Below are 25,258 nucleotides of genomic sequence, written 5' to 3'. Positions count from 1 at the left end.
CTTTGCTTATTTCAGACTTACATCGTGTTGCCTTGGGAACATGCCTGTGTACATGGCCGCCTCCTTTCCCTTCCCATCCAACACCTATGGTGTCCTGCCCTCTTCCTAGACTTAGACAGAATCAGGAACACAGACTTCTGTTAAAATGACCACAGTGTACTTTATTTAATGATTTTGGTACCTTGTGTTGCATTAAATAAAAAAAAAAAACTACAAAATCCAAATATATAAAATTTCAAGTTTTCTTTTTTTTTCTTTAAGTTTTACAAGAAAAACCATGTAACCAAGGAAATTTGTTCATTATGAAGTACTACTTTCCACTTCATTTCATCACAAATTGCAACTTACTTAACAGACCAAAATAACTATGGTACTGTAGTACATCAAATACTCCACACACTGTGCTTCAAACTAGGGCACTGGGGGTCACTGCCTGCTGACAGTGGCCTCCCGCGAATAAAGACACACTTACAATCTGAACGCTAAAGGGATGTTTGGATACATGGAATTTGAATATATATATTTACAGGAAGGAAACAAATTTAATAACTAGTTTAAGTCTCCATTTCAAATAAAATTCCAAATACATTTGTACAATGTTTACAAAGTAAAAGCACAAGAACTGCCAAGATGATCATTCAGGTCCAGGCACTGTGCTCATACTGGGGGAAATGTCTACACCGTTCCCTACGCACACTCGTGGGGTCTCTCGGACCTTATTCTGTAATGGAGGGGGAAGCACAGGAATGGCATTTTTGCACAATCAGAATGTCATGCAGATAGTTGACAACAGGGGACTGAGAAATTACTGGTCCATTCTCTTCCATTTGCTGTTCACCTGCCACCTGTTCCATTTTTTTTTCAGAGATAGATTTAAAACAAAACAAAAAAATTGAACAGGGAAAGGAGCACAAAATGTTTAAGGCAAATTAAGCAAATATAGAGCAGCTTATCTTGATGTTGAGTGGAAATGAGGATTTTACCCAAAACCAACCTTAGAAACAAACAAACAAAATTAAGTACAACCTCCTGAGGTTGGGTGGTGTATATCATGTACAAATTTTTGAAAATTGCTTTGCACCAAATATCCTTTTGAAATGTTAAACAAAAGACTTATTGATTACAAAGTGCATGGTTTCATGTTTCTAAATAAAACAACAGTAGCTGAGGTAGTTAGATGTGAAACTTATTTACTTAAAATAACTGGAGAATTAAGAACAAATATTGGTAGCAAAAATCCTTGCCATTTGGGAGCAGGTTTATATTGTGCAATGGTTTCATGCTAAGCACGATGTTTCTATTTTTCTATTAGATGTTATTAATTACATCAGAATATTAGTGGTAGTAGTATTTGTTTCCAATCTGCTTGGTAGGATGTTAGTACAGACGAAGTTTGTATCCCTAGTCATGTCATTTGTAACTCAGGCTCACACCATTTCTGCATTGAAGCTATCATGTAAAATGGCATTAATTATCATTACTAGAAACTCCAATCCAAACTGCAAAAAGAATTAAGTAAACACTGAGAAAAGAATCCATAGGAAGGATGATTTTGCTCTTGCTTTAACAACATTTTTGTCATAGCCCTAAATTCAGCGTGCTATTTGGTTTCAAAGAGAGAAGAAACCTCTGGCTCATTGGTTGCTGTCTTTGTTCTGAGAATGGGAAAAATGTAATTTGCATATCCTTCATCGACTCTCCCTAGGCTATTGAGCTGTCTGGCTACAGAGAGGAAAAGCAGAAACTATTTAGTAGAGGCAAGGTTCTCATCCAAGAATAGCTATGGTCTCTTTCTGCGCTCTTTACCAAAGAAAGGCTTCAGCTGGGATCTTCAATAAGCAATTGACCAAATGATGCATTTTTTTCTTATTTGATACCATCTAGATATAAAAGGAATTTTGTGATGATAATAATATGTCAGCAATACTAACACACGTAAACTAATTGGGAGACACTCCTTTTGATCAAAAGAGAATTTCCATATGTTTTCTATCACTTGTTCATGGAATACAATGTTAATGGGAAATATCCATGAAAATTGACCACAATTAATACATTTACAAAGCATCACATATGTGATGTTTACAGAATGACTGGTCCTCAGCAGCATAATCACATGAATCTTTGCTGAAAATGGTAGTTTTTCTAAAAACTTTCAAGGAGGGCTCTGGAGAGTTCCATGTGGTCTGGAAAGCCTTGAAAAGAGGCTGAAGTCTCCTTTCTTCCAGTGATGAGATGTATAGCTTATATCTCAAGTACATGTTGTCTCTACTTGTCTTTTCATCTGTTTGGTGAAGAATCTAGACTCTGTCATTTCAAAGGGTTGTCCAGCTCTAACACACTTCAATTCTGTTTTGTATCTTTGTGGCAAAATCTCCCCATGACATACTCGCCCCACTATTTTCCTCCCATCCTGGTCACCCCACCTGTGAATCTGCCACTTCCTTCTTCCAGGCCCCTACATCTAGTCCAAATAGGCAACACCAGTTTTCTTCTGCAAAAACAAATAAAAACACAGTATTTTCCTTTATAGCAAAAAGGATATTCTGCTGCATTTCTGGTTGGGGGAGTATTGATACTAGGAAGTGGGCAGGGGAAAAAGGACAGTCCCAATTATTTTTTGACTCACTTACTATTCTCATAGTATTAGTCCAGAAAAACAATACTTCAGTCTGGTTTGGCAGCACAAACTTTAAAAAAAATGAATCAGATAATTGCCTAGGTTAAATTCATGCTTCAGAAAGTTTAATACCATGCATTAGATATTAATTAACCACCTTGAAATGTTAAGGCTTTGAAATATCACTGCCAATTAGATTTTAGAATCCAGAAGAGATTATATTGAGTGCGTATCTTATGTCAGCTCCAAGCACAAGATGATTTCAAACCCACTTCTCAAGGTAAACTTTCTGAAACCCATTTTGTGTTTTTAAGAGTGTGCACATTTTTTTCACAATGGAATATAATCCTTAAATAAGGGCACAATGATAATATTGATGTACAACAACTTTGCCTCATGAAGCCATATCATGAAAACATTATCTGCTTTGCTAGTCTAGTTTTATGAATGTATTCCTATATCATGATATTGCCTCTATGTCTCAAAAATTACAAATATTTATAAACCAAAATGATGTTATTTCACATTAGTTCTTATCAGGATTAAATTTTTAAGTACAAGAAAACTTGTCACTTTTGGGGAAGTTGTACAGGATATTCTCTGATGTTGTTTTCACACTGTGTCCTTTATCCTTTAGTAGAATTCCCACCTAAGCACATGTAAGCATATGTATATCAGTATATAGCTGAAGCCCTGTGTAAAAACTTCTCCGAAATATTTGAAATGTAGTTATAACGTGAAAATGAATCAATTCAGGAGTTACAGGTGGAAATAAGGCTTTACGTTCTTTTATTGTGTTGTAAAGATGTGTCATCTTAGGGGTGAAGAGGATACTCAATGGAAATGACACCAACTCTAATCTCACTAATATCTGTTAAAAATCTTTCCCCAGTAGTGGATTTCAGAACGCCACCTGGTGATCATGAGTACAGAACTGGGGCATCATGCACGCATTCTGAAAAAATGCAGCTTGGGATCAGGCATGCAAACCCCTCAGGCATCAGGAGGAGACAAGTTTTCTGGGTGCATTTTAATAAACATTTAATAAAATTCAGTTTGGTTAACAGGAAAATTGCCAACTTATATAAAGCATCTGAATGTCTGGATGAAAGGAGTTGTCTCATTAAAAAGCTAATCATTGAAGAAAATTATACATAGACCTTTGAAGGAAAAGTGTTAGTTTTATATAGTGATGAAGAACCATTGTATTCTCTGCTTGGTGAGTTGTTGCTGTTGTATTCCTCAGACTCCACTTCCTCCGTGCTGCACACAGCTCTCTTCTGTTAATGCCAGTTCTCAGGAATGACAGCACTTTCTAACCTACAAGCACTTTAGCAAATCTAGCTAATCTCCACAACACCCCTATGAGGTAGGTAAATAAATATCTCTCTTTTGCATATGGGGAAAATGAGGCTGAGGGTGAGTTTCTGAGGCTGGAGAGATGGACCAGGGATTAGGGCTCAGTTGTGCAGAGATTCCCAGTTCCTTTGTCCCAGTCACTGACCCATAGACCCTCCCATCCCTGCATCCAGAAAGGAATCCATCCCATAGTGTAAAAGGATATTGTTTTGTAGAATAACATATTTAAGTATATTTAAGACAGTCACTATATTCAACATGGATTTTTGGTTTTCTACGACACCATAAATTCCATTGATTATCGTACTACCAAAGATCACTGAATAAAATGACTCATGCTTTTGTGGAGGACAATAGGTTGTCACGTCTTTGTTGCTGATTCAACTAAACATCCTGTTGGTAACATGAAGGTAAAAAGATTTGAAATGGGATTTGGTGAAGTAAAAATCTTAGGGAAAAAGAAAAGCAAAACTGAATTGGGCTGGTACACACATCTGCGATAGGACTCACAGTGATGATGTTGTGGGGCCTGGGGGGTCCTTACTACACAAAGTGGAGGATCCATTTGATTTCATAAAAACATTCTGTTTGTAAGGGAAGGAAGGACCCAACAAGTAACTTTATTGCCTTCCCCATAAAGACATTCTAACTTGGCACTGAGTGTAGAATGTGACACAATCAAAACCCTACCTACAAATCTTCAAAACATTTAAGTTTTCTCTGGAAATCCCCTCAATATCTTTGCATAGTTGAATACCTTTCCGTACTCTGTGTGCCTGCTCACGGTGAATCATTTGTATCATGTTCTGCAACATAAGTGCTCTTAAAGAAAACTGGTCTGAATAGCTTGTCTGTTTTTCTGCTAAGCTTCAGGACCATAAATGAGGCAAGCACAAAATTTGAGACAATGCTCACCAACCCAGTGTCAAATTAGGAGAAACAAGCTCAGCTTCCTACAGTCACAATGAAGAAATGTCCACAAATAATCAGGAACGCAAATGTCAGGATGAACATCTCAGACTTTCCTTGTGGGAGGTGAATTTTCCTTTGACGTAAACTTTTTCTTTTTTTCCCAGGAATTTTAACGATGACTACAAAGATATCACTAAATATTCCCATGTTTGTGGTAACCAGTTGGTGCTTGGAAATTGGCATGACATCAACAAACCAAACCCAAAAAACTATGTATGGTATTTTGTTTGTTTTGGGAAAAATAGCTTTTACTTCTATCAACCTTATAAAATTCACCATGAAATAATTTTGTCAAGCAATTTGAATGGTTTTTAGGCTTAAAAAATATCATAAGGAATGCTTAAAATTAAAACTTCTATTTGAAGAATAAAAACTTAAGAAACTTGTATTTCCCTTGAGCCATTTTATCAAGTAGACTTTGTGAATAACTAAGATGATATGAACAGCAGAAGAGCAATGATACAATTTATGAAAGATAGCAAAGACTGAATAGAAAGTTTCTTGCCTGGCAGGGGCCAAGTGAAGGAGGGTGTGCCGCAGCCAGGCCCAGAATGCCCAGGACAGCCTACCTGACCTCTTTCATTCATGTGTTTGCTGAAAGTAAATAAAAATTAAATAACATTTGTTCTGCATTATTTCTCTTGGCACAACAAAGAGACTTTTAGCAGCAGAATATGACCAGCAATTGCTTACGGCGCAAGAAAGTTCAATTCCATTACTTACAACACCGGAGCAGTCTGTCTATCCAGAAACACCAGACACCCAGACGGAAAACTGTATGATTCAAACATCTCGACTTTTCCAAATATCCGTATGTTTGATATCATGAAGACCAAATTTACCACTTGAGTGATCTACTTGGCCACTTTTCATCAGGATATTTGCAGTCATGTGGACAGTCTTTATTTTTTAATAACTCCTTGTCTACTTTGGTTTAGTGACGATGGTTCCGCAATCATCTGGAAAATTCAGATGTTGAAAGCCCCCCAAAGAAAAGAAACTTAGTCAGGAGGAAGAATCAGAGCTTGAGGGCTATCAATGGTCCAGTGGTTTTGTCTATGTTGAAAAATTGCTTAACTGTTCATTTCTTTCCACCTCCATTATTCTGAAAATTATTCTCTCAAGAATTATTTTTTCCAGTTTGGGAACAGATACACAGACTAGGTGACTGGCAGAATTGAGATTCACAATATGAGTGAAAGATTCTAATGCTTGTAAACCCAGTTTAGTGTGTTTGGACACAGAGGCTCTTGTGACATTGTGATATATTTACAATGGGAAGATGAGTAAGGCCATGGTAACCCTGAATCTCATTGCTGTTAAAAGGAGGGATGGTTAAGTGGTTCATGTTCTACAAACAAGGGTAACTTACAATACCTTGGAATACCTTATCTTAGAACCCACGAGAAGCTCTCCTGCAGAGCCCATAGGGACCAGTGGTCAAGGAGAACTATCACAGGGGGTGGGTTCCCCTAATGACAGAGTCACTCTTAGACATGACACCACTGACATCTCTGTTTTCCCACTTTCGTCAGGCCCTAGCCTTTCCAAAGTGGACATGTCTGTTGTTATAGTTATGGACTGGCTGTGACTATTTTGAACTTCTCTGCTCTGTGAAAAGGCAAATACTATGGATGAGCCACTGACAGGTTTTCTCTTCATCACCATACTTGGGCCTCTACATTAATAGATACCCTCTGACCCAACACCCAATCCTGCTAGAGTAACTCTTACCCATGAACCTTGCTTAAGAGGACTATTTATTGCTCCTATATTCCCACGATTGGCCACCTCATTGTACATTACAGAGTATCTTTGTACCTATGTGGGCTCTGGGGTTCAGAAAATGAACATTTTCTTTAACTTGTTAGTTTTCATTGCTGGGCAATTGAAAATAAGTCACGTGCACAGGAAGGGGAACATCACACACCGGGGAGTGTTGTGGGGTGGGGGGAGGGGGGAGGGATAGCATTAGGAGATATACCTGATGCTAAATGACGAGTTAATAGGTACAGCACACCAACATGGCACATGTATACATATGTAACAAACCTGCACGTTGTGCACATGTACCCTAAAACTTAAAGTATAATAATAATAAAATTAAAAAAAAAAAGAAAATAAGTCACATGGTGGTAGACCACTTTTTGTCCCCATTTTATTTCAGGGCTTGCGCCAAGAGCTAGTTCTGAAAACTGACTCGCCGTGATGCTAGTGCTGATAACTGGGAAGATCATTCAGTAGTGCTTGCTATTATACATCTTGGTGATAACTACCAAGGTGATAGCTTTGGGAGGAGAAACATCTTCAAAACACAAGAAAAAGAATCCCTGCTTCTTCCTCTTCTCATTTTTCCTCTAGACTGCTTATTGACAAATCTGATGACTTCCACTCTTTCATCTAGGGTGAACTCCTAAAATTGTTATACCAAAAGATTAGACAGAAAACTTTACAAGAACATATGAAGGCCCGACTCTCTTGCATACTCTGAAACTATGACCTGATAACTTCTGGTAACTTCATTCTTATCTCGTAGCTCAAATCTTTCTTTGAAAAAAAAAAAACAAAACCCAGAAGCAAGGGAGAAAGAACCATGTATTAAATTAAGAGATGATCTGTTTACCTCTATGTGAAAATTTAGTCATTAAGAATATCGGGGCCGGGTGTGGTGGCTCACGCCTGTAATCCCAGCACTTTGGGAGGCCAAGGAGGGCAGATCACGAGGTCAGGAGATCGAGACCATTCTGGCTAACACGGTGAAACCCCATCTCTACTAAAAAATACAAAAAAATTAGCCGGGCGTGGTGACAGGCGCCTGTAGTCCCACCTACTCAGAAGGCTGAGGCAGAAGGATGGTGTGAACCTGGGAGGCAGAGCTTGCAGTGAGCCGAGATTGTGCCACTGCACTCCAGCCCCTGCGACAGAGCGAGACTCTGTCTCAAAAAAAAAAAAAAAAAAAAAAAAAAAAGAATATCAGATTCGTGATCTTTGAGCTCGTAACCAAGGTTTTGCAGGGCCTGAGAAGCAACAGGATAGCCAATTCCACATAGAAATGGATCTCGGTTTGGAACTGCTAATGTCACCACCTAAGAAGGCAGGAATCAAATTATTCAGTAGCTGCACCCATGCAGATTTTACCTCTGAAACTGAATAAAAACTCAATTTTTATAAATTGGTTATTACAATGCTGACAATGGTAGTCTCAAGAAATGAAATAAAAGCAGCAACTGTACTCAGACAGATCAATTATTCAACAGATGACAGTGCATTATTTTCATTTCCAAACATGTGGATTTGAATCCATTTAAAGCAAGTCTCCACGACCCAGTACTCCGTTCTCTGAGCTATGCAAGCCCCCGGGAATATTTTTCTTTTTTTTCAAAACAGCGTTTACTGGAAAAAACAAATGAAGCAGGTGAATATTCATAGCGTGAGCCATAAGAAGCAGGTAGCAGGAATTCACTAGCGCTCCACTTCACAGAGGTATTTCTCTTCAGGCCTGTGCACGTCATGGTACTACGGCTGAACGGAAGTGCTCCTTTTTCACTAACTGATTAATGTTCCCTTGCAGGAGCTTGGTTACAATATTACAAGTCAAGAATTTGCAAGATTAAAGTGTCTGTTGAATTAATTAACTGCAAATCACCTCCAGTAAAGCTTGACAAGCTCCAAGATGTTTCTGTAGAAAAAGAAGGGAATCGATAGCATCAGCAATAGGCAGCTTTGTGACAGTGGTGACTGTATTTCTGAGTGACAGCTCACTGCTGCCTTCCCTCCTCTTACAGCAGGAGGGATTTACATCTTTCCACAGAGCCCCAAGCTTCCGATTCAGACCGTGGAAAATGTTTCACCCCAGGCTTTCAAAATATATTTCAGAAATCCATTTCCTCTTTTATGTACAATGCATTAGAAAGGTTAATAAGGGAAGTTGAATATTTTAATTTTTTGAAAGAATGATATAAAATGACAATTCTTTCACTAGCTGACAGGTCTCCTTTTTTTGGTTATGTTAAGGTGTGTTATTGCTCCCAATTTGAATAGAATAAAAAAAATCACAAGGGGCTCAGCAGAAAACCACAGGTCAAAGGTTAATTGCTAAGTGAATGCAACAGCGCTCAACACACAAAGTGCTCATTTTCTAGACTCACAATGGCAATGCTGGTGTTAAGATGCGTTCTACTGGTGTGCGATCAAAATAGGAATTTTGATTACAATCATAGAAACTCAAACTATATTTTCAACACATTTAGTAGTGTTTTGGAACTTCTTGATGAATTAATGTGAAATAATTAAAAGTGTTGATTTGATACAGCTCCATACCAGAATGCCACTAGAATAGGTAAATTAAATTAGCTTAACCACATCTCCATCTGATAACATTTGTAGTACTTAAGTAATAATTTGATTAAATCTGTTTTAATATAAATTAAGCAATGGAGAGGAGGAGAAGGTCAACAATTTGGTAGATGGAAATATAATAAAAACATAAAACTTTATATTTTCTGAAATTCTTTTTTTTTTTTTTTTTTTTTTTTGAGACGGAGTCTTGCTCTGTCACCCAGGCTGGAGTGCAGTGGCACGATCTTGGCTCACTGCAAGCTCTGCCTCCTGGGTTCATGCCATTCTCCTGCCTCAGCCTCCCGAGTAGCTGGGACCACAGGCGCCCGCCACCATGCCTGGCTAATTTTTTTGTAGTTTTAGTAGAGATGGGGGTTTCACTGTGTTAGCCAGGATGGTCTCGATCTCCTGACCTTGTGATCCGCCCGCCTCAGCCTCCCAAAGTGTTGGGATTACAGGCGTGAGCCACTGCGCCCGGCCTATTTTCTGAAATTCTAATAACAGGGTAGATGACATACTTCAATTACTAGCACAAGAGAAAATTTTGTGTCAGTACTGTGCTGGTAATATTTGCTTAATATTTTGATTAATTAGTTTTGGTATTGATTTTTTTCGTTAAACAAGATTTTTGCTTAGCAAATATTATATCAGTAATTATATGCTTCATTTTGTCTGGTCCAATGACTAAAATAGCAATAATTGTAGTAAGGAATGTGGTAATGGTGGCATGAACCTAGAGATCATGGTACCTTGTAACATTTATTAGGTCAACTCTTTTATTAATGCATAATGTGACTCGCTAAGGAACTTGAATTATTCTGTACTCATAAAAGTTAATATACTTTCTTCTCTCTTTTCTTCTACTCCTTAGAGGGCCAATGGGTTTATATATTCCCTGACCAGAATTATTTCACATAAGGAAAATTAGTTATACAAGTTAATAGTGATCTTTAACAATCTGCTGCTTATATATGTGGGAAGCCAATCACTCAGGAGAGAATGCAATCGGGTCCAAAGCCAGTGTGGGTTTCCCCAGGAAGCTGGGGCTGACTGTCCTGACTCCTGACTCCTGACTCCTGAAATTGTCACGCAGCACAGTGCTGCTCTTCTGGGCATTGGAGGAAAGGCTTTAGAGAAACAGCTCATGTTTATGTCCAGAAATTTGTTATTCCTAAATAACCAGTATGCTGGAGAAATACAGTTAGTGAAGAATGCTTTCTTGAAAAATCAGAGAAGTCACCTATTGGAAAACTCTTCACTTTGGAGTCTCCCTAATTTCATGCCTTTTCTTGAAATAAGTTCTCAAGAATCGCTTCAAAGTTTATCCAAAAATGATTGTTTTCAATCAAATACTATGCACCAAGAGAGTATTTCAATTTTTTTGTGTGTTGTGATATCAATTTAAAAATATCTAGTGTTGGAGAGTCATATAAACAAATTATAAAATTACTTTTCTCTTTATAAGCAGTCATCTAGTTTTTTTTTTGTATTTGTATTGTTACTTTATGTTCATCATCATTATTTCATATGTTAATTGTATATTGTAAGGCTCACATGCCACACAATGGCATTTTGGTCAATAATAGACTGCACATATGACAGCGATCCCATAAGACAATAATACTATATTTTTTACTGTTAACTTTTCTATATTTAAATACACAAGTACTTACCATGGTGTTACAGTTGCCTACAGTATTCGGTACAGTAGCATGCTGTACAGGTTTGTAGCCTAGGGACAATAGGCTCTACCATATAGCCTAGGAGCATGGTAGGCTCTACCATCTAAGCTTGTGTAAGCACACTCCATCACACAATGACAAAATTGCCTGACGATGCATATCTCAGAACATATCCCCATCCTTAAGTGACACATGACTGCATAGTCTTAGAAAAGCTGTGTTTCTTTCTTGCTTCAATATGGAATTAAATATAGATATTGAGAAGAGAAGAAACAGTGTGGTAGAGTAGAAAAGAGTAAGAGCTGGCGTCAGAAAACTATGATTGTGCTGCTAATAGCCAGACTATGAGCTATTCCAGTGCAACTTTCCTTTTGTGCTTGACTGTGCATTGCCTAGCCAAATGAGTTGTAGAGGTCAAACTTGTTGAATAAATGACTCAGGGAAAAAAAAAAGTGTATTGTGTAATCCTGATCACAAAAATTACCTGTTCTTTTTGGATCTCAGTTGTCTCATCTATAAAATAAAGTGATAAAGCAATACTTAGATTTATTTTACATGCTATTTCCTATAAAAATCAGTGACTTCTAATTTTATATAAATTCATAAAGATCTCTTAAATCAAAGTAGGAAGATAGTTACTTGTATTTTAATACACTACATTCATATTGATCATTGAAGATTTTTTAAAAATAAACACCAGGGTTGAGAAAATTTTTGGTTTATTATCAGCTACCTTTTTAGTATCAGTTCAAACAACACACACACAGCTTACTAGGCAACAATATCATTGAATGGGTTACAACTCTGTCATCTTGCAGACCTTCAGACATGCTATATCTAAAGTGAGAAGGGAAAGAACACATCAATTATTTTATAATTCAATTCAACAAATATTTGGTTGACACTTGCAGTATTATTGGCATCTAACACTAAAATAAGGTTCCTAGACTTATATGATTGTTCAAGCTAGTGGTTTAATAATCCTCTTAAATATTAAAGTTTGTGACCTGCAAGATATTAAATAAAATTTAGGGAAAAATTATGGCAGTGAAACAGAATTACCTTATAATTTGAAAATATCACTTCAAAGACTTGTTAAATCTCCTTCCTTCCTTCCTTCCTTCCTTCCTTCCTTCCTTCCTTCCTTCCTTCCTTCCTTCCTTCCTTCTTCCTTCCCTCCCTCTCTCCCTCCCTCTTTCTTTTCCTCTCTCTCTATCTTGTCAAAATGCCAAAGTAAGTAATGGGGTTTAGTTTTTTTTCAGTCTGCTTAATTGGATGAAAACAGCATACACATATAAAATACAAGAGACATGGCATCAGGTTAATTTATATTTATCACTTAATTGAATACATAGTGGAGCCATAGGAGGGGGACAGTTGCCTGGAATGGAAGAATAGCATTTATCTGCCTACTATGAGTTAGAGTTAAGGTAAAATTTAGTTACAGGTGATAGAGACTTCCATTTTACATCGACTTTTACATTTTTAACTGTTCATTTTGAAGGACATCTTTGACTTTTAAATAAAATTTTCTTGGAAAAATTTGATCATCAGACCATGATTCTGTTTCTTCTGAAGACTTGCCAAATCAGGACTAGATTTTGTGGGAAGAGTCACTGGGCTCCCAGAAGTCGCAGTTGTTGAAAGCTGTGCTCAACCCTCAGCCCCACTGTTTCCTAGCTGTGGGACCTTTGGGCAAATTGCTTGACATCTCTAAGCCATTTACAGATTTTGTCATCTGTAAATGATGCTTAACTCACAGATGGCAGTGAGGACTAAATGAAACCACATAGATACAGCTCTTAGTCCAGCACTAGGTGCGCAGTAAACCATCCATCGTGGTGAGCTACTCTCAATGTGGGAGATGGAACCATAAGAAAGTCTATGGGGAAGTGAAATAACCAAAAGCAAAACTTGATTTAGGCAGCTCGTTTCTGACATTAGGCTGTCAGTATATTACGAAAATATTTCAAGGACATTAAGTCATCTCTTGTTTAGCAGAATATAGGCCTCAAGGTTGACAAAAGCTTTACATTTGGGGGCCAGGTCACTGCCTGCAATATATATATATAAATGCAAATGGCTATTTGGCACTTCTTCCATGTGGCTCTCTGCTGTGAGAGCAGGCTGCTTGCATGTTAGACTAATTGCTTCAATTAGCAAAATTAAATGGCTCATTATGTTTTTATACAATTCCACCCATATTCTGCAGTTTTACTTTAGAATGAGTAATGATACTGTCGAGGCTGTAGATTGAGAGTCTTGCCACATGCCCATTTTTAGGACAGCAACTAGATAAGACATATGTCAACACAACAACTTCAGTGGTCTGATGCTGCCACCCAGGTGCCTATGTGAGGAGAAGGGATGCCACTCGAATGCTCAGGGCATTTCACGGCCTGTTACAGGTCCAGACAAGAGTCTCAGAAATGGGGGATAGAGCGGAATCGCCCATCCTTGGCCATTTTGAAACACTGGAGCATCAGGTGGGAGGAGTGTTATGAGTCAGAAGCTGACACAAGCGATCTTTTTGATTGTTTTCAAAAATGACATTGGATTGCCGAGACAAAGGAACGTTGATCTGCATCTGTCACTGAAATTATAGGAATGACCACCCCAGTCCTCCTGTGTTTTCACCATGCGCTTCAACCATCCTCTGAGCTATAATCTGAATGACAGTATGAGCTATTTTTAAAAAGGCTTTAAGGAATTCTCCTTAGCACATAAAAATGCAGGCATCTCATCCAAGCTTTATATAGAAACAGCAATGGCTAATGGCAAAGATATGTGGAAAATGCAAGGGAGCATATATTTAGTCTAGAAAATGGTTCATTAGAAAAAATCTCTGGATTCTTGTCTAAACATTGTGTCAGAACTTGTTTCCAATCAACGGCATTTGGTATATTTAAAAGCAAATGTGTAACCTTACACAATCCTGGTAAGGACAGAAGAGGTTCTCTTTGCTCAATTCAATCTGTTCAGAGAAAGAAACTTTGAAGTGACACAGAACTATTTTATTCAGCTGTTTAAAAGATGAGATCCTTAAGAAGTGATAAAACTCATTCGAGCTAAGAAGTGCTGAATTATATTTAGGTATTTCCAACTGAAGTTCGTAAGTGTGTTGGTCTTATAGATGGACTGTAAGCTTGGGTTGGTTTTGAAAAAGGAGCAGGAAAATGCTTCTTTTCTAAAAAGTTTATGTACAATTTATATGCATAACATACCACTTTATATACATTCAAAAGCAGTATATACTTTATCCTTTTCATCTCTGTTACTTTAGTTGGAAAGTGTGTGTGTGTGTGTGTGTACATACATATATAGGTACGTATATATACATATATGTATGTACACAAACACACTTAAAAGGCACATATCATTTTTAAAAAACAGCCATTGAGTTTTCAACTATTCTCATTCACTTTTAATTGTTCTGTGCAATCACTTCCTTTACTCATAGAGCAAAATAAATTGGGCATTTAGAAATTAACCATAAAATACTTCATTTTACTTTTATCCTCAGATTATCTTTTGCTAATACTTGAATTATATATTCTTGCCATGTCAGTAAGAGAATTTATTATATTTGTTGGGTTAACAGCGTTTATCACAAATGAGTAGTAACTAAGTGTCTGCAAAGTCAGTGCTATTGAACTAGACAGTATGTAGTTAAGTAAATAAGCAAAGAGGATTTAAAGGACATAGTCATTTTGGGAGACTAAACTTTGACTTACATGGAAAAATTATTTCCTTTTCTTTCACACAAACACTTAAAGTGTCACTATGGTTAAGATACACACACACACATTATATATATTCATTAAACATGGTTTCATATTTAGAAATGCAAGTTTAAAAGTAAAACAAATTACAATGTTGTTCCTTTAGAAAATTTCCTGATCCTATGCAAAAAGTGAGTAAGAGCAGATCTCCCTCTTAAATGGAATCAAAGTGGACTCAGACACAGAAAGGAGCCTGCAGATAAGGAACCCAGCATTTCCAATTTTTTCCTTTGGGATTCTCCAGTTACTGTCTGCGGAGGGTTTAATGGCAGATTGAAAAGGAAATGTTAGAATTAAAATATAAATACAAAAATGAAACTTTGTTTCTTTGTACACTGATGATGTCTCTTTAAATCTGAATACTTTAAACTCTCTGTTATCTGTGCATCTAGAAAACAAGTAAAAGTTGTTATTACCACAACAGTCTGATGGCAGTGTAGTGCTTCCTGAATCATGGAAGCAAGGCTAAATCATGATTTATCTCTTGTTTTGCTCTTGTAATCTTTTGAAAGGTTGTAATTCATCACATCATGGATATGTTCTTTCCTTAACAAGAATTCATGCCTAATTAAAACATCATAATCTCCAAATATGTCGGATAACAGAGTATTTACAGTATTTGGGAAATCACTGAAAAATTCAACCTCCTTACATTCTCCTGACTGCCAATCTCACCTCCAAGTCAAAGCACAGTACATCATTTTTCATTGACATAGTATTCATTCTGACTCTTAACATGTTGAATGAGGGATCAAGTTGAGAAATAACTTAGAACTTACATGATTGAAGCATGATGGGGCCTGTTGGGTTTGTGTTGATTGATTGACTCTATTAGACTGTAATCTGTGATTTACTCATAGAATCAAAGGTACAGTTCAACTGAGAAACTCAATTTCCAAAGATCATCAGTTAAAAGTTGTCTTGGAAACAATGAAGCTAATAACTCAAGGTTCTGCACAAAAGTGAAGAATTTGCCAAAATCGTTTTTTCCTTCTCCAGTGGGGATGGAATGTTTTCACCATGTGCTGACAAGAAGAGCCTTTTCCTGGGCCTTTACTGGTGACTAGGTAATCTTTCCACATCCCAACAAAAGATTAGTATTTTTTAGTGGAAATCTTGCTTGGAGGATCAAATCATGGAGTACTAGGAAGTATGTCTACTTATAAAAATTGTCTATTTTTTAAAAAAATTGATTTGGGGCTTTGTACCAAAAGAAGTCCTAGGTTGAGCCCTCTGTTACTTCCTGTGGATGTCATCGTGGGGACACAGTCTCTGGATGACACACCCATTACAGGTGGTGGCTAGAGAACTGGACTACTTTGTGTGAATTAGATCCAAATAACCGAATAATTAAGTTAAACTTTTTTCTTTTTCTTTTTTAGTGGTTTGACTAATACTTAATCTATCAGTTGGGTTAATATAAAACCAGGGAAGGAAGTTTAAGACAGCTTCCACTGTGGTCAGGTTTGTTATAATGGATGGATGAAAGTAATCATTTACATCTTTGATTTCCTGGGAAACATTGGCCAGTCTTGACAAGCCCTTTCTATTTAAGCTGATTCTCTCTTCACCTGATATTCTGATAGCACCCCTGGCCAGGTTCCTGGGGGCACCAACTTGCAAAGTAGGGTGATCTTGCAAGAGACAAATGTTTTCAATCTGCTGAGGCAGGCTGATGGAATTTGTGGACCAGTTTCTGACATCCCAAGTAATTATGATGCTTAAAGTATTTTAAACGATTCCAGGTCTATAAAAAATGTGATGATGCCTATGTGTATACCCTATATTTTTTATTACAAAAATATTGAAATAATCCATGAGTTATTCCACTCTGCACCAACTATAAAAAAATACTATCAAAGTTTGACCGGCACTTTTAATGCAACGAAAAGCACCATGACCGAGGACACTGAGAACAGAAAGCGGGGAACGTTTACTTGCTGTACGGAGGTATTTAAAACCCAGAAGCTTGTTGTAAGAGTGCGACTTTACAGATGATTCAAATACAAATCTTAGCTGGATATAGTGATAAGCCCTCTCTCAGTTCAGAAGGGTTTTTTCATAGCATATTCATTGCATTTGTCTGCTCATACTTACTAAAAAGTGTCCCAAAGCCTCTAAAAGACACATCACTTTGACCTTGGATTGGGGGGAGGAAAAGTCTGTACACAGTGGAGAACTTGATTGCTCGTTCTCTCGCCTGCTTTTAGGGGGCTCATGCCACTCATTCTCAGTTGTTTGGGGCTTCCACGTCAGTCCTGTGGTTGGATGGTGTTTGGCACTAGAAAGGAGTGGCACGGAGTCTTCCAGAGTCAGCATCTGCCTATGGTCACACAGAGCCACTCATTCTGCGTCTGGAAACAGATCCGGTTCCAGCCCATTCCTCTGGCTCGCGCCGCACTGCCGTTATGTCCCAATGGGCGCTGCACATGCCTGGGAATCAGACTCTCATTTTGCCTTTTTCCCCACTTCCTCTTTGTGTACCTGTTACATTTTTGCAATTGAATACTGAATCATGATTACTATTTAATTTACATCATGAAGTTATTGAGCTCCTTGGTCTTGTTGAAAGCCGTACATGGGCTGCATAGGATTTCTGTCAAAAAGGATGTTCGCAACTGAAAATTTAAAATATAAAACAAATCCTGAAATGTGTAGAAAATGAACCACTCCATCAATGCTAACACATGTGTAGACAACATTTGGGTTTGCTGTCCGTTGGATAGGATTTTCACACATGGTATGGATTTCCAAATGAGAAAATGGTTTCTTTTCTAAGCAATACTATTTTTTTTCTCGAGGGATGTTTCCCTCTTTCTTTGTTTTTATATTCCTGTGGGAATCAGAGCTTTGCATCAAGAAAAGTCACCTAAGCTTTTTTGACAGAGGACTGGTGTAACTTATGTGTGTTAGTGTGTGTATGTGTGTATGACTGAATCTATTTTTATGGAAAGATCAGTTAACGCCATCAAGACACCCTAATGATTGGAGGCAAAATTTTTCCATAATAGTAGTACCCTCTGGTGGGTGCACCCAAGACCGTGCAGGAGGAGTTTGGTAGCAATGGAGAGTCCTATTAAGCCAGCGTCATTCTTTCAGGTGGAGTCAGAGACTCTCGGGTGCAGCTGCTTTGGAAGGAGACCAGCCGCCCCCAGCCGACAGGATCAAATGATAATGGTGATGACGGTCCCACTAGGAACTTCACGGCTCACTGCCCTGCTCTAGGATGAAGTGTCATTATGGCCACAGCCCTGCTGTCACCCCTTCATCTGGATGTTGTGGGTCCTGCAACTCCTTTTGCTTTATAAAGTGGTTTCGTACTCCAACCGCTCCTGAATAAGGGCATCATCTTTGTACTGCAGCCTTGGAGGAGATGGGGAACATTCAAAAGCTAAAATAGCCTTTCGGAGGCTTCGGTCCAAAACATGTCTCTCCCATGCTGGGTACCTATTCCTGAACAAGTCAATTTTAATGACTGATTCTTCAATCCGTGGTGGGCGAGATGATGGGGTGGATGGGGCAGTGGGCCTCACTTGAAAGACAGGTACACACCCATCCCGCTCTGCGAATTTCTGATCGCGGTCGCTGACAACACTGCGGTTGTTGGAGATGGACCGTAGGGTGCTTGTGGCCACGTCTGGGGGCAAAGTGAAGGCAGCGGCTGGGTCCTCACAAGCACAACTTGGTGACTGCCCGAATCTGGGTCCATTGGGATGAAAGAAGGCATAATACATCAGCATAAAAACAACGCCAGTTAAAAAGCTGCTGAACACCACACACAGCGCTGGAATGGCAAATGCGTCTGCAATCTGGGGAGCCTTGTAGAGGTACCAGAGGGCACTCAAGGCTGTATTTTCCAAAAGGATCACAAAATAGTAAATGAATAGCCTGCAGCGTGTCCTGCCTTCCTTGACATTGAACCAACTGAAGATATAGATAATCCCCACCACCATGTCGAACACAATCTCTTCCCATTTGGTGATACAGAATTCTGTCTCACAGTGGACGATCCAGAAGGTCATGATGCACCAGTGAAGGACGATGAAGATCCCAAAGTACAGCTGGAAAACCGAGGCAAAGAGGGCAAACGTGATGACCCTGGCGGCGATGGTGAAGAAGTGCCAGCAGAACTGGATGATGACGGCCATGTAGCTGATGGGCTTCTTGTCATCTCGAGAGTCCCGGAGGGCCTTCTGGTAGGAGGCCAAGGCCCAGGCCAGGGACACGAGGGAAGCTGCCGCTGTGAAACCTACAAAGGCAAACAGGAAGACAGTGTGTCAGAAATCAGTTGCAGCAATGCCCCCTGGAAGTCACACAGAGCTGGGGGCTTGGGGAAGGCTGGCTTTGACCTCAGCAAAGACTCTTAATTTCTTTTTTTTTTTTTTTTTGAGACAGAGTCTCGCTCTGTTGCCCAGACTGGAGTGCAGTGGCACCATCTCTGCTCACTGCAAGCTCCGCCTCCTGGGTTCACGCCATTCTCCTGCCTCAGCCTCCCCAGTAGCTGGGACTACAGGCGCCCACTACCATGCCTGGCTAATTTTTTATATTTTTAGTAGAGACGGGGTTTCACCATGTAAGCCAGGATTTTCTTTGGGTTTTAACTCAGATGGGGATCCTCGTATCTGTCTTCTCTAAGGCTCACCCATATGGAGAAGTCATGAAGCTAATAGGAATGCTACTCAAACCCAGCATGGGTGTGAGACCTGGAAATGGGATGGAGTTTAACTTTCTGTATTTGGTGTAAATGGACTAAGGAGGTAATTTTGTGAAGTGGGAAAATAACCATGGACCGGAGGCTGTCAGAACTGGGTTGTTGCTTCAACTTTGCCACTTACTACCCTCATGACCTTGGACTATTGTCAAAATGGGTGTCCTCATTTATAAAGTGTGTGATCTCCAAAGCTCCCTGTCAGCTTTGTGATTCCATGATTGAAGGGGATATGTGATCACAAGAAATTAGGGACTACCTGGTTTATCTTTCTGCTTGTAAGCAGGATTAAATTTAGTTTATTCACAAAAGACAGTTTATGCATTCTTAAAAATAAAAGGTGTGTGTACAACATCCTTGGCAATGTTTCTTGTGATACCTGGTGCACAGTTTGTCCTAGTGCAATCTGGCACTCTTCCTACAGCCTTTATCTGTTCCTTATTGCCTTTCCCACAAAAGAAGACATGTCCGTTCCCTGTCTTCCATCTCTTAGCTCTTCATAGATTAAAGATTGTGCTGAAATTATTTTTCAATCACTCCTCTTATTTTATCATTTTATTGGTCCCATTTGGTTGGTATTCCCTCTAAAAGTAGGCTTCCAAATGTTAAAAGTCATTTGTATTGTTTTCCTCTACTCTTGTTCCACCTCCTGTATGGCACAGTTCATCTCTATCGTCCAGATGTGGCCAGGGCTCACCTAAAAACACACTGGCCTCCTTTAGGAGAGAGCTCTTATGGGAAATTCCTCTGTCACAGAAATGGTATGCCAATCTGCATCGCAGCTGGCTTCCCTAATGAGCTGAACCAAGACTCACCAAGACTAAGAATGGTCTCATCTATTTTAAAGTCTGGCTGGCTTTTTCTTCACCAAATCTATTATTAATCATAACCAGGCCCCATTAAAGCCTTTCTCTTCTTTTGGATATAATAGAAGATATGTTGATTGCCAAGATCTTATAATGGAAATGGTACTTTTTATTCAAAAATATTTTTATAGGGAAGAGCTGTTGTCTATGATCCTTGAAAAATGAAAAGAAAGTACTCTTGTGGAAAAAGACCACACTAATTGACAGGAAATACATTCAACCCCAATAATTATTTCTGATACATCCTCGTTGAGTAAGGTGAACTCCAAAGAACAATTATTGATAAGGAAAATATTTTCTAAGAGCCATTTCTCATATTTCCTCCCAATAAAGCCAGCAGAACAACTAGACATGCTACACTGGGACCTTCAGGTTTTTCTTTTCTTTTCTTTTTCTGGCTAGCACAAAAATCTTTAATTGCTGTAAGTCACAGGCAGCTGTGGTGCTATTTATAGGTCAGAGACCAGTATACAAAGGAGTTTCTGATAATTTAATTTCTAAGCAACAGAAAACATCGACATCAATTATAAAACAAATTCTGGAGTGAAAGAGGGGGAAGGAGAAAAAGTTTAAAAAATGACAAAAGAAGGTGAGAGAAATGCGAAATAAAAGGTAATGGGATAATGACTATGCGAACATCTTTATTATCACTTGGGGATTTAAGAACAAAAGATTGTGCCTTTTTTAATTTCGACGCTTTTGTAGGGCATAGAAGCCGCTCATATCTCTCTTCTTATGTGTACCACTTGCAAACGTGTAGCTTCTCACTAGACTATGCTCCCTTTGTGCTTTTAAACGCGGCGCCCAGCTGGGTTTCTGCCCGGGAACGCCCCTCCCCTTCCTTCACGCCGGCCTCCTTCAGCACAGCTGGGGCACAGCGCCGCCTTCAGGAAGATAACTGCACCGCCGGTCAGGCTCGCGCCAACCAAAGCGGGGTTGTTAACGGGGTGGTCAGAATGGTTCTACCAGTTTGCACAGGAAGACGTTACTTAAGGCTGCTTTCCAAAGCAGTGAAAAAATAGTAAGAAAACTTTAAGTACACAGTATCATGAAATGATGATATGATCTGTTGTCAGATTTAAAAGAATAGAAACATTAGCCTCCTTCAAATTACCCTGTAATCTCTACCCCTTTTATTGCGTGTCCTAAAAGAGTAATTCAGCCTGCGTTTGACACTCCAGGAACTTGTTAAGATGATACTGTAGCCGTAGAAAAATGAAGGCTTTCTATCAGCTTTGCTCTCTCTATATCTTACAATTTAAAAAATCTATACCAAAGGGAAATTTCATGTCCCTGTGATACCCTCTTTATGAATTCTCTGCTTTAGCAATGAGAATTTCTCTTCTTCCTTTGTTGATGATGATGATGATGATTTTTTGAGACAGAGTCTCACTCTGGCTGGAGTGCAGTGGCACGATCTCAGCTTACTGTAGCCGTCACCTCCTGGGTTCAACCCATCCTCATGCCCCAGCCTCCTGAGTAGCTGGGACCATAGGCATGTGCCACCACGCCTGGCTAAGTTTTGTATTTTTAGTAGAGAGGGGGTTTCACCATGTTGGTCAGGCTGGTCTCGAACTCCTTGCTTCAAGTGATCCTCCTGCCTTGGCCTCCCAAAGTGCTAGGATTTTAGGCGTGAGCCACCGTGCTGGGGCTTCCTTTGATTATTATTTACTTTTTCTTCTGTTTAACAATTGATTTTTATAAGACAAATATATGCTGAACAGAAAATATGGGGTCATATACAAGTTAAGACCCTTACAACTTCACAAATTCACAACTGCCACAGAACACTTAGTTCTTTTGCTCTTTATACAAATAATACGAGCTCAGTTTTTTCCAATGCCAAGACAGACTTCCTCAGCAAGGCATGGCCTTATTCTTAGAGTTCTCTGGAGCTTCTGATATGCAGTGGCACAGTGCTGGAACACAGGACTCTGAGCACTCCTTTAGCTATTAATGTGTATTTTAAGTTGTTATTTGAAAATAATTTCAAACTTACAGAAAAATTATAAGACTAGAAATATTATATTGAACATCTATATTTCATTTGCCCTAATTGTCAACTGACTTTATCATTGCCCTCTCTCTGTCTCTGTCTCTCTCTCTCACCCATTTGCGATTAAATGCATACATTATGGTCCTTTATCCTAAAATATGCCAGTGTTTATTTCCTATGAATAGGGGCATTCTCTTACATAACCACATAAAGTTATCAACTTCAATCAATTTAACATTGACACAGTACTTTAAAAAAATCCACTATCAGTATTCTAGTTTCACCAATTGACATTAACAATGTCCATTCCAAAATTTTTCTCCCCTATACAGGATCAAGTCTAGAATCAGGTACTACATTTGGCTGTTGTATTAATTCAGTTTTCTTTAATCTGGATTATTTCCAAATACTTTCTTTGACTTTATGACACTGACATTGTTTGAAGAGTATAGTACTTGAAAATAAGAAAAAAAGAAAAAAAAAGGTGTTCCTAATTTTGGGTTTACCTGCTGCTTCTTCATGGTTACATTGCTAGGCAGGAATATATAAGTGACATTGAACAATGTATTTTTTCAGGATCATCATACTAAAATATGACGATTCCTTCAGTGGCCCCAGGAAAAAATATATAATGGGTCTGTCAGTCTTTTCTTTCAAAATAATGAATAGTATATCACTCATGAAAACTTGCTTCTAAGATCAAGCTATAAAAACAGCTACAGGGGACTAAAAGGGATTATATATTATCTCTTAAAATGTGAAAATAGGTGATAAGACCTTAGAGCTTACCTAGTGCAATAATCTTATTTTATAGAAAAGAAATTGATTCTCACTTTGAGAGGTTATCTTCCCTCTCTCCTGCCTCCCATTTATCTTGGGTGAAAATTGTCCTTCTCCAAAGCGAACTCTCCTACTTCCTAAACAAGGGCGCTAACAGTTAACCTGCCTTTCTCTGGATTCCATCTCCTCCTCTATAAGAGCGCCTTCCCCAGATCTTACAAACATGTAACAAGCCTCCTTTAACCCAAGAAACACCATTGGTGTGATTTTTTTCTCTCTCCTCTTCTTTATTTCAGACGTGTCTCCTGTTTTCCCTCCTGTTGTTTCTTGTTGCCCCATTTTGGTCTGGTTGTCCTTTAGCTACTGGCATTGCTTGGGATGCAGTCCTCAGTTCTCTTCCCTTCTCAGCCTTTTTCTGGGTGACCTCAGTCACTCCATGTCTTGAATCCAGCAGACAGCAAATGCCCATCTGGACTCCCAGCCTTTCTGAGCCCCAGAACTGTGTGTCTGACTGTGAGACCTGAAACCCCACGGGCCTACGATGAAATACCTGGAAGCAATCTGGCTGTAGGTGACAACATTTGCTTTCTCGTGGAAAGAACACAATTCCTGTTCCTTAAGAGCATGGATCCCACTTTATAATTATGCTTCATTTTGTGCTTGTTTAATTAGTGTATTTCTCACTACAGAGGGTCTTTTAGGCGGGGATAAATACTTGTTTATCTTTCTGTCCCCTTGAGCATTGCAAAGTGCTTAACATATATTCAGAATTGACACTTAGAGGGAAAAGAAGGAAGGACGGAAGGAAAAAAAGAAAGAGTATTCCAAATGTAGAGCCAGAACCACAGAGAGAGTGAAGTGTTCAAAAGATTTGCATGGTTCTTTATTGTTCCTCTCTTCTGCTTCTTTGCAATTTCAGTTTCAGCTGCAAATGCCAAATCACTGTGTAATAAAATCTGAACTCCTGTTGTGTTGTTTGTGGTCTGGGTGTAAACAAGAATTCGTGGAAATCCCCAGAGCACGCTTCGTAGGATGTACAGCCTAATTCTCTAGATGGAAGAGGCTCAGTAAATTAACCAAGTGCTCGAATTCTTTGATTCTTCCACGAAGAGAATGAGCCTGTCTTTTTCTTTCTCTCTAAGGAGGCCATAACCTTCCCCTGTGACAGGCAAGCCAAAGTTTGCACTCTCAGAGAAACTTCTGGTCACTGGCCCACATTCACAACCAAATTGCAGCTGGTGAGAAGGGCTCTTTTTTTTTGTTCTAACTTAAAAATTTACTATCATGAACATTTACAAACATACAAAAAAGCAGAGAGAATAAAACAACAAATGCATCCTTCATACGGAATCAACTAAAGGGCTCTCATTGACTTCTTTCTCTTTATTTCCAGAGTCAGAACAGCTGTGCTGATGGCTGGGACTCTCTCAGGACAGCTTGGAAGGCCCGACCTGGCAGCTCTCTGGGCCCACCGGAGCTCTCCTGCCTTGTCTTGTACCTGCCTCTCTGTGCTCCAGCCACACTGCCATCTCTCCGTTTCTCAAATGCTACGTAAAGCCGCATTCTCTTCCCACAGATAGAAAATGCTGTGCTCGCCCTTGAAAAGCCTCTCTCTCCAATGAATTCCCACTCATTCCTCAATTTTCAGTTGAAGCATCATTCATTCCTTTGGGAAACCTTTTCTAGCCCCTAACACCCTGCATTGGTCCTAACATACCTTGGCATGACTGCTGTAGCTCTGTATCTGCGTGGGTACTGACGGATGTGACTCCAGGAGGGAGGGTGTGCAGCCTGTGGCTCACCACGGTATCCCCAGCACCTGTCTCTCTGCTTGCCTATTAACTTCCTAAATTAGTGCATTTTCCCCTGTCATTTAAAAAAAAACTTTAATTTTTTCATTTGTATATATCGACAGAGCACAAGTACAGATTTCTTGCATGCCTATGTTGTATTGTGGTAAAGTCTGGGCTTCTATGTGTACCCATCACTCAAATAGTAAACATTGTGCCTGAGAGGTAATTTTTCAGCCCTCACCCCCCTCCACTCTCCCACCTTTTGGAGTCTCCAATGTCTATTATTCCACTCCATATGTCCACATGTACCCATTGTTTAGCTCCCACTTGTGAGTGAGAACATGCGGTATTTGACCTCCTCT

The 25,258-nt window shown here is 39.1% G+C and overlaps 1 protein-coding gene and 1 long non-coding RNA gene across 2 annotated transcripts in view, besides 3 other annotated features; one reads left to right on the top strand and one right to left on the bottom strand.

Moving 5' to 3' along the window:
- Positions 1-228: 228 nt before the first annotated feature.
- XKR4 (XK related 4) overlaps positions 229-25,258 on the bottom strand; it is a 440,027-nt gene continuing 414,997 nt past the window's right edge. The window contains exon 3 of the mRNA NM_052898.2: positions 229-19,002. Within this exon, the coding sequence (NP_443130.1) occupies positions 18,056-19,002 (947 nt within the window). The 3' untranslated portion in view covers positions 229-18,055. The remainder of the gene's footprint in view (positions 19,003-25,258) is intronic.
- Positions 21,197-21,286: an enhancer, noted in NCBI's record as "active region_27375". NCBI's record gives its function as "activates an Ori minimal core promoter by ATAC-STARR-seq in GM12878 lymphoblastoid cells {active_cell/tissue: GM12878}" and the evidence as "EXISTENCE:reporter gene assay evidence [ECO:0000049][PMID:35858748]".
- XKR4-AS1 (XKR4 antisense RNA 1) lies at positions 21,305-25,096 on the top strand. Its single transcript, NR_134323.1, has 2 exons — positions 21,305-21,348; positions 24,497-25,096. It is a non-coding gene; the product is annotated as an XKR4 antisense RNA 1 (long non-coding RNA).
- Positions 24,018-24,067: an enhancer, noted in NCBI's record as "active region_27374". NCBI's record gives its function as "activates an Ori minimal core promoter by ATAC-STARR-seq in GM12878 lymphoblastoid cells {active_cell/tissue: GM12878}" and the evidence as "EXISTENCE:reporter gene assay evidence [ECO:0000049][PMID:35858748]".
- Positions 24,078-24,207: an enhancer, noted in NCBI's record as "active region_27373". NCBI's record gives its function as "activates an Ori minimal core promoter by ATAC-STARR-seq in GM12878 lymphoblastoid cells {active_cell/tissue: GM12878}" and the evidence as "EXISTENCE:reporter gene assay evidence [ECO:0000049][PMID:35858748]".

The sequence above is a fragment of the Homo sapiens genome, chromosome 8 (genome assembly GCF_000001405.40).
Source record: "Homo sapiens chromosome 8, GRCh38.p14 Primary Assembly".
NCBI lineage: Eukaryota > Metazoa > Chordata > Mammalia > Primates > Hominidae > Homo > Homo sapiens.
Note: the sequence above shows the minus strand (reverse complement) of the source record. Positions and strands in the feature narration are given on the sequence as shown.